The sequence below is a fragment of the Homo sapiens genome, chromosome 10 (genome assembly GCF_000001405.40).
Source record: "Homo sapiens chromosome 10, GRCh38.p14 Primary Assembly".
Taxonomy (NCBI): Eukaryota; Metazoa; Chordata; class Mammalia; order Primates; family Hominidae; genus Homo; species Homo sapiens.
Window position 1 is genome coordinate 97395348 of NC_000010.11, and position 9760 is coordinate 97405107.

The 9760-nt window shown below is 45.4% G+C and overlaps 1 protein-coding gene across 6 annotated transcripts in view, besides 1 other annotated feature; it reads right to left on the bottom strand.

Moving 5' to 3' along the window:
- RRP12 (ribosomal RNA processing 12 homolog) overlaps nt 1-6023 on the bottom strand; it is a 45014-nt gene extending 38991 nt beyond the window's left edge. For 4 of the 6 annotated variants that reach the window (NM_001284337.2, NM_015179.4, XM_011539556.3 and 1 more), the window contains exons 1-3: nt 5746-5993; nt 4958-5187; nt 871-954 (exon numbers count right to left, since the gene is read on the bottom strand). In NM_001284337.2, the coding sequence (NP_001271266.1) occupies nt 871-954; nt 4958-5187; nt 5746-5884 (453 nt within the window). In that variant the 5' untranslated portion in view covers nt 5885-5993. Of the gene's footprint in view, nt 1-870; nt 955-4957; nt 5188-5745 lie in introns of all 6 variants that reach the window. The other 2 variants (NM_001145114.1, XM_047424903.1) reach the window with 2 other exon arrangements.
- Nucleotides 5477-5526: an enhancer, noted in NCBI's record as "active region_3849". NCBI's record gives its function as "activates an Ori minimal core promoter by ATAC-STARR-seq in GM12878 lymphoblastoid cells {active_cell/tissue: GM12878}" and the evidence as "EXISTENCE:reporter gene assay evidence [ECO:0000049][PMID:35858748]".
- Nucleotides 6024-9760: the final 3737 nt, after the last annotated feature.

Genomic DNA, 9760 nt, shown 5'->3' on the forward strand with positions numbered 1-9760 from the left:
TCGAGACCAGCCGGGCCAACATGGTGAAACCCTGTCTCTACTAAAAATACAAAAATCAGCCAGGTGTGGTGGCGCACGCCTGTAATCCCAGGTACTCAGGAGGCTGAGGCATGAGAATTGCTTGATACCATGAGACAGAGGTTGCAGTGAACTGGGATCGTGCCACTGCAGTCCAACTTGGGCAACGGAGTGAGACTCTGTTTCAAAAAAAAAAAAAAGTAGACCAGGCCTGGTGGCTCAGGCCTATAATCCCAGCACTTTGGGAGGCTGAGGCAGGCAGATCACGAGGTCAGGAGTTCGAGACAAGTCTGGCCAACATAGTAAAACCTCTTCTCTACTAAAAAATACAAAAAATAAGCCGGGTATGGTGGTGTGCACCTGTAATCCCAGCTACTCGGGAGGCTGAGGCAGGAGAATCACATGAACCCAGGAGGCAGAGGTTGCAATAAGTTGAGAACATGCCATTGCACTCCAGCCTGGGCGACAGTGTGAGACTCCGCCTCAAAAAAAAAAAAAAAAAAAGTAATAAGTAGCCAGTTGCAGTGGCTCATGCCTGTAATCCCAACAATTTGGGAGGCCACCGCAAGATGACAAGACGGTTTGAGCCCAGGAATTTGAAACCAGCCTGGACAACATAGTGAGACCCTGTCTCTTTAAAAAAAAGAAACAAAGAAAGAAAGAAAAGAAAAGAGAAAATTAAAAGGTAGCAAATACCACCAGCCTTCCTAAGCCACCTGAGAATAACTGAAGCACTTTCACCTGGTCAAGGTTGTCCTTCTCTACCCCCACATGCCAGGGGCACTCATCTTCTCGCTAAATCTTGCATAACCTGCTGCTCTGAACACCCACCCTCCAGTGGCACCCACTCACCAGAGCAGCGAAGTACTCAGTCTCCGTCTCCTTCCCTCCCTGGGAGCGAATCACCTCAGTGACAGCAGCCAGAACAGCACAGATCTGCACAGGAGGGAGAAAGCACTGTGACTATTTTAGACCTAACCCCACCCCAGGGGAACCTCCTTTCCTTGCTCCTTCACAGATTAATCTCTGGTTAAAGCCCAGAGACAGACAAGACAGGCAACATTCAGGGCCTAGGTCCATACCAGGGGGCCCAGCAAATAACAAGACTCAGAAAATGCTTGCTAAAATTCCACCATGAGGTACTAACCTTCTAGAAATACCTGCATGAGATGAGTGTGCAAATATTTATGTACAAGGATGTTCATGGCAGCAACAAATTGGAATGGTCAAGAAGCCATCAACAGGAGATTAATAATGTACTGTAGTTGTCTCTAATGTACTGCAGTTATCGAGGGGGGGATTGGTTCCAGGACCCCTAAAGATACCAAAATCCGAGGATGCTCAGGTCCCTTATAAAAAATGGTGTAGTATTTGTGTATAACCTATATACATCTTCCCATATACTTTATTTATTTTTTTTGAGATAGAGTCTCACTGTTAGCTAGGCAAGAGTGCAGTGGCATGATCTCAGCTCACTGCAACCTCTGCCTCTGGGTTCAAGCAATTCTCCTGCCTCAGCCTCCCAAGTAGCTGGGATTACAGGTGTGCACCACCATGCCCAGCTAATTTCTGTATTTTTAGTAGAGATGGGGTTTTACCATGTTGACCAAGCTGGTTTTGAACTCCTGGCCTCAAGTGATCTGCCCTCCTTAGCCTCCCAAAGTGCTGAGATTACAGGCATAAGCCACCATGCCTGGCCTCCCATATACTTTAAATCATCTCTAGATTACTGGTAACACCTAACACAATGTAAATGCTATATAAATAGTTGTTATACTGTATTTTTGTTGTTGTTGTTGTTGTTGTTGTTTTTGAGACAGAGTCTCACTCTGTCACCCAGGGTGGAATGCAGTGGCGCACTCTCTGCTAACCGCAGCTTCCACCTCCCGGGTTCAAGCGATTCTCCTGCCTCAGCCTCCTGAGTAGCTGGGATTACAGGCATGTGCCACTACGCTAGGCTAATTTTTTGTACTTTTAGTAGGGATGGAGTTTCACCATGCTGGCCAGGTTGGTTTTGAACTTCTGACCTCAAGTGATCTGCCCGCCTCGGCCTCCCAAAGTGCTAGGATTACAGGCGTGAGCCACCTCGCCTGGTATATTATTATTATTTTAAAAAGATTTTTCAATCCATGCTTGGTTGAATCTGCAGGTGCAGAACCCGCAAATATAGAGACCTGACTGTATCATTATATAATAATGAAAAATTTAAATAGTGCATTATTCAAAAGAATGAGAACAACTATATATTAACTTATAAATATCGTTCAGTAGGGAAAAAGTTGCAGAACAGTGGATAAAAAATAAACTAATCAAGCAGGGCACAATGGCTCACACCAGTAATCCCAACACTTTGGGAGGCTCAGGTGGGCAGATCCCTTGAGCCCAGGAGTTCAAGACCAATCTGGGCAATATGGCAAACCCCATCTCTACAAAAAATACAAAAATTAGCTTGGTATGGTAGCACTCCCCTGTAGTCCCAGCTACTTGGGAATTGGAAGGCTGATCAGCCACTGCACTCTAACCTGGGTGACAAAGTGAGACTCTGTCTGAAAAAAAAGAAAAGAAAAGAAAAGAAACTAATCACATTTTGGTAAACCTAAATAACAAAATTGGGTAAAAAAAAATACGTATATATATATACATATATATATATATATGTATATATATATACGTATTTTTTTTTTTTTTTTTTTTTTTTTTGAGATGGAGTCTCGCTCTGTTGCCCAGGCCGGACTGCGGACTGCAGTGGCGCAATCTCGGCTCACTGCAAGCTCCGCTTCCCGGGTTCACGCCATTCTCCTGCCTCAGCCTCCCGAGTAGCTGGGACTACAGGCGCCCGCCACCGCGCCCGGCTAATTTTTTGTATTTTTAGTAGAGACGGGGTTTCACCTTGTTAGCCAGGATGGTCTCGATCTCCTGACCTCATGATCCACCCGCCTCGGCCTCCCAAAGTGCTGGGATTACAGGCGTGAGCCACCGCGCCCGGCCTTTTTTTTTTTTTTTTTTGAGACAGAGTCTCGTTCTGTCACCCAGGCTGAAGCGCAGTGGTGCGATCTTGGGTCGCTGCAACCTCTGCCTCCAGGGTTCAAGTGATTCTCGTGCCTCAGCTTCCCAAGTAGCTGGGATTACAGGCGCATGCCACCATGCCAGGCTAATTTTTTAGTAGAGATGGGTTTTCACCATGTTGGCCAGGCTGGTCTCAAACTCTTGACCTCAAATGATCTGCCCACCTCGGCCTCCCAAAGTGCTAGGATTACAGGTGTAAGCCACTATGTCCAGCCTGAAAATTTAGTTTTTAAATTTCAACTACTCATAATTTAAAATATTTGATCTATTTACTAGAAAACATATATTTGTAACAACCTGGCAAATAGGTTCGTAGTAATTCATAGTAGGCAAATCTACTTGTACAACCATAAATGTTATGAACTCTAAATAGACACAAATCAAGTATTTCCAATGAAAATTTAGCATCTAAGTAGGGGTATATGGGTAAATTATACACTAGATTTTGAAGACTTGGTATCATAAAAATAATGCTGTAGTAAAATATACTGATTATACATTGAAGTGATAATATTTTAAAGATACTGAGTTAAATAAAGTACATTATTAAGATTAATTTGGGCCGGGCGCAGTGGCTCACACCTGTAATCCCAGCACTTTAGGAGGCCGAGGCGGGTGGATCACCTGAGGTCAGGAGTTTGAGACCAGCCTGACCAACATGGAGAAACCCTGTCTCTATTAAAAACAGAAAATTAGCCGGGCATGGTGGCGCACGCCTCTAATCCCAGCTACTCGGGAGGCTGAGGCAGGAGAATCACCTGAACCCAGGAGGCGGAGGTTGCAGTGAGCCGAGATCGTGCCATTGCACTCTAGCCTGGACAACAAGAGCGAAACTCCGGCTCCAGAAAAAAATAAAAAGATGAATTTATTTTACCTGTTTCTTTCAGTTTTTAATATGGCTACTAAACATTTTTAAATTACATATGTGGCTTGAATTTAGATTACTATTGGACAGAGCTGGTCCAGGAAGACAGACAATGACCCATTAACAGGAGCTCTGTGAATGATTCAAGTTGGGGGATCTACCATCACATTATATTATTCTTATATCATTTTGATATCATTTAGAATTTTGACATTTTTTATTTCAATAACAAAAAATATATATAACTTTATAGTATAGATAAAATAATAAAAGTAAGGCCAGGCACGGTGGCTCATGCCTGTAATCCCAGCATTTTAGGAGGCCAAGGTGGGCGGATTACCTGAGTTCAGGAGTTTGAGACCAGCCTGGCTAACATGGTGAAACCCCGTCTCTACTAAAAATACACACACACAAAAAATTAGCTACTTGAATAATGCACTATTTAAATATACTAAAAAAAAAAAAAAAAAAATTAGCCGGGCGTGGTGGCACATGCCTGTAATGGCAGCTACTTGGGAGGCTGAGGCAGGAGGATTGCTTGGGCCTGGGAGATGGAGGTTGCAGTGAGTGAAGATTGCGCTACTGCACTCCAGCCTGGCCAACAGAACGAGACTCTGTCTCAAAATAAATACATGAATTAAGTTAAATTAAAGTAAATAAATTTAGTTCTTGCTAGATAAAACGTTTCCTAATCACTGTTACTCAGCATTTATTTACTCAACATATGTTTATTGAAAATACTCTGTGTAAAAGTGCTGTGTTAGGTATAGCTGAGGAGAGAAATGTTTGGAAAATATTTCTACCCTCAAGTACTTAAGCAGAGGAGATGTTCTTATAAAAAGCAGAAAGTAGAACCTGCCCTAGGAGGAGACATAAAGGGGAGGAGCGATGACGCATCATCCAGAAATACCAGCTGTTGTCATCGGAGACCTGTCGGCCAGAGCTGAAGAAAAGGCATGAGTTGGCCTCTCCTCACTATCCTATGGCCCTCCCGACCCTCGCCCCTACCTCCTTGTGGGCAGCCGAGTTGGACTCCCAGAAGCGCTGTACTTTGCTGAAGGTGACGTTTGTGCAGTCGGAAAGGCCACTCAGGAAGGTACCCGAGGACTTCTCGGTGAGAACCAGCTCCGCCTCTTCTTCCATGGGCGTCTCCGGGGCTTCGCTTTTGCCCAAGCGCAAGGACCCTGACTGCAGCTCATTATGTAACTTCACAGCATCGACTGTCAGGTCACTCCTTCCTGAGAGCCAGAGGCACAAGATAAGGTCCAAGCCTCCTTTTGGTCAAGAGAACAGAACAACCCCTGGGAAACAAACCAGCCCAGGCCAAATCTCCAACCCGAGAGGCTGAATTCTGAACACAGCCAGTCTCATAAAACCACTGTATGCCTAAAAACTTGAAAAACCAAGGAGAAAGGGAATCCTCCATGTAAAAGTTTCTGCTTCCCTGTAGCAGCGGCATAAACGCCACTGGGAATCGGCTGGGAGCTACATTCAGAGGGCCTGCAAAATAAATGAAGGTGAACGCGCTCTGTAAAGAGCTACCCAAGGTCCAAGCCATCTGTCTCAACTCTGACACCCGCGGTACCTTACACAAGACATTTCCCTACTGCGGACCTCAGTTTCTGTATCTGCTAAATTGGAAGGACTGCCCTTCAGAGAGGGCTCCAGATCCGACATCCTAAGAGACGAAAGGTCCAATGCCTGGCCCCGCACTCTCCCAGAGGCCCCAGACTCATCTGGACCCAGGTCTGCCTGGAACCCCGCCCCCGGCTGCGCTCGGGTCTCAACCCAGCTACCTGACGGCCGGCTGAAGAAGCGGCTGCGGGCGGCCTGACGGTGGCGGCAGATGGCGGGGTTGCTGTCGCTGCTGTGGCCTTTCTTCCAGCGCTTCAACTTAGCTGAGACACCAGAAGGCAACTTTCCCGAGCGACCCATGTTGACTAAGCCGTGGCGAGGAATGAGCTTAAATGACCGGCTTCCAGGGACGTAGAAACACGCTCAGAACCCACGTGGATACCCTGTAGCCTTCACTTCCTCTTCTTCTGGCGTCACTTCCGGATTCGTGTGCATTACTATGGTAAAACAGTCAACATCCGGTTTTACACCTCCTCCTGGCTTCGGATGGGGAGGAGCTCCAAGGAGATCCGTTGCTAGGGAGGAAGTTAGGTTGCTAAGGGTTCTATGGGGTTCTTACTCCAGCCAGGACCAGGTTTCAGGGCCACAGGCGTAAGCCTTATAAAACTGGAGTTTGGCTGAGCGTGGTGGCTCATGCCTGTAATCCCAATACTTTGGGAGGCTGAGGCGGGTGGATCATTTGAGGTCAGGAGTTTGAGACCAGCCTGATCACCAGGGTGAAACCCCGTCTCTACTAAAATAAAAAAATTAGCTGGGCTTGGTGGCGCGCGCCTGTAATCCCAACTACTCGGGAGGATGAGGCACAAGAATCACTTGAACTCGGGAGGCGGAGTTTGCAGTAAGCCGAGATCACGCCTCGGCACTCCAGCCTGGACAACAGAGTAAGACTGTCTCAAAAAAACAAAACAAAGCAAACAAAAAACTGGAGTTCTTTTGCAGTTAAACAACAACAAAAAGTACATTTATATTACATTTGAAAATCTATTTTCAAAATTAAGCATAGAAACACATTTATATGAAAGTCATATACCTTCATATAAAAGTATATATGTAATCCCAGCACTCTGGGAGGCCGAGGCGGGCAGATCACCTGAGGTCACGATGTTCGAGACCAGCCTGACCAACATGGAGAAACCCTGTCTCTACTAAAAATACAAAATAAGCCGGGCGTGGTCGCGCATGCCTGTAATCCCAACTACTGGGGAGGCTGAGGCAGAAGAATCGCTTGAACCTGGGAGGCAGAGGTTGCGGTGAGCTGAGATCACGCCATTGCACTCCAGCCTGGGCAACAAGAGTGAAACTCCATCTCAAAAAAAGAAAAAAAGAAAAAAAAGAAAAGTCAAAACTTATGGAGACTTGAAAGTGTGAAAATTAGCTTGACTTGAAAAGAGAAAAAAGCAGTCAGTGGTGTTCTAGACAAGCTTTGCTATTTTCATTTATTACTGGAGATACTCAGTTGCTAAGCCACCTTGCCTTATGACAGCATTCCATCCCTAATTAATCCCTGGTTCTCCAATTTCTCTCTCTCTCTCTCTTTTTTTTTTTTTTTTTTGAGACAGAGTCTTGCTCTGGTGCCCAGGCTGGAGTGCAGTGGCACGATCTCGGCTCACTGCAACCTCCACATTTCAGGTTCAAGCAGTTCTCCTGCCTCAGCCTCCCAAGTAGCTGAAATTACAAGCATGCACCACCGCGCCCGGCTAATTTTTTTTTTTGTATTTTCAGTACACGCAGAGTTTCACCATGTTGGCCAGGTTGGTCTCGAACTCCTTTCCTCAGGTGATCTGCCCACCTCCCAAAGTGCTGGGATTACAGGCATGAGCCACCGCACCTGGCATCCGGCCAATTCCCAGTTCTCCTAATTCCACCTCAGAACCAGCAACCGATCCAGTTTATCCCCACTCCCCTGAGACCCTCCTTAAAATCCTTCAACCAGATCCCAAACCTTACAAAAGACACATTTCTCTTCCCTCTTGCCCAGCAGCTTTATTCTAAACCTTTAGCAGCATTCTTTGGAAGAAGATATATAGAACTAACAAAGTACATCTATAATATATAAAGAATTCCTACCAATCAATAAGAACAAGGCAGACAATCCAATAAAAAGAATGGGCAAAAGGGACAGGTGGGTGCAGTGGCTGATGCTTGGCCTGGAATTCCAACACCGTAGGAGGCCGGGGGGCAGGGAGTAGAGGGGAGGAAGGATTGCTCCAGCCCAGGAGTTCAAGACCAGCTTGAGCAACATCATGAGACCCAGTCTCTACAAAACATACAAAAATTAGCTGAGCATGGTGGTGTGAACCTGTAGTCCAGCTACTCAGGAGGCTGAGGTGGGAGCCCAGAGAAAGTCAAGGCTGCAGTGAGCCGTGATTGCACCACTGCACCCCAGCTTGGGTGACAGTGTGAGACCCTGTCTCAAAAAAGAAAAAAAATTAAAAAAAAAAAAAAAAAGAATGGGCGGCTGGGTGTGGTGGCTCACGCCTGTAATCCCAGCATTTTGGGAGGCCAAGGTGGGCAGATCACGAGGTCAGGAGTTCAAGACCTGGCCAACATAGTGAAAAACCCCATCTCTACTAAAATACAAAAAAAATTAAGCTGGGCGTGGTGGTGGGCACCTGTAGTCCCAGCTACTTGTGAGGCTGAGGCAGGAGAATTACTTGAACCCTGGAGGTGGAGGTTACAGTGAGCTGAGATCGTGCCACTGCACTCCAGCCTGGGCATCACAGCGAGACTGTGTCTCAAAAATAAAAAAAAAGAAGAATGGCAAAAGACACAAACAGCTGAACATCATGATGTATTGTACAAAAAATAAAAAAGTCATGAACAGGCACTTCACAAAAATTAATATCCAAATGGCCAATAAATATATGAAAAACAGGCCAGGCATGCTAGCTCACGCCTGTAATACCGGCACTTTAGGAGGCTGAGGCAGGAGGATCACTTGAGCCCAGGAGTTGGAGACCAGCCTGGCCAACACAGCAAGACCTGTCTCCTCAAAAACTAAGAAAAATAGTGGGGTGCAGTGGCGTGCACCCATGGTCCCAGCTACCTGGGAAGCTGTGACAGGAGAATCTCTTAAGCCCAGGAGTTTGAGGTTGTAGTAAGCTATGATAGCACCACTGCACTCCAGCCTGGGTGACACAGTGAGACTTTGTCTCAAGAAAAAAAAAAGAAAAAGAACAGACCAGAACAGAAAAGATACCAGTTTCATTATCAACATGGGAATACAAATTAAAATCACAATGAAATGCCACTACACACCCACCAGAATGGCTAAAATTAAAAAGACTAGCAATACTAATGTTGGTAAGGATGTGGAGAAACTGGCAACATATGCTGCCATTGGAGTATAAAGTGATACAACCATTTTGGAAAACTGTGTGGTAGTATCTACTAAAACTGAATACAGTCTTGCTCCATGACCCAGCAATACCTTCCTGCATATTTACTCAACAGAGATGTTTACTTATATGCAAAAAAGAGATATAGGAGGATGTTCACAATGGAAATAATAAAATGTCCATCAACCGTAGAATGAGGCTGGATGCACTGGTTCACACCTGTAATCTTAGTGCGTTGGGAGGCTGAGGCAGGAGGATTGCTTGAGGCCAACAGTTCAAGACCAATCTGGGCAAAATAGTGAGACCCCATCTCTAAAAAAAAATTAAAAATTAGCCACATGTGGTGGCATGCACCCGTAGTCCTAGCCACTTGGGAAACTAAGGCAGGAGGATCACTTGAGCCCAAGAATTCAAGGTTAGAGTGAGCTATAATCATGCCACTGCACTGCAGCCTGGGCAACACAGTGAGACTCTGTGTCTAGAATAGATAGATAGATAGATAGATAGATAAGACAGACAGGCAGACAGAGAGATAGAGTAGAATGGATAAATTGTGACATATTGATATATAATGGAATACTATAGTATTTGACTCTGTATAGCAATGAGAAGGAACTACTGCTACATATATCATGCATGACCTAGGTTGAGTAAAAGACTCCAGACACAAGAGTACATAGTTATAATCCCATTTATTTATGATTTAATTATTTATTTATTTATTTTGAGACAGAGTCTTCCTCTGTCACTCAGGTTGAAATGCAGTGGCACAATCATGGCTCACTGCAGCCTTGACCTCCAGGCTCAAGCAATCCTCCCACTTCTGCCTCCCGAGTAG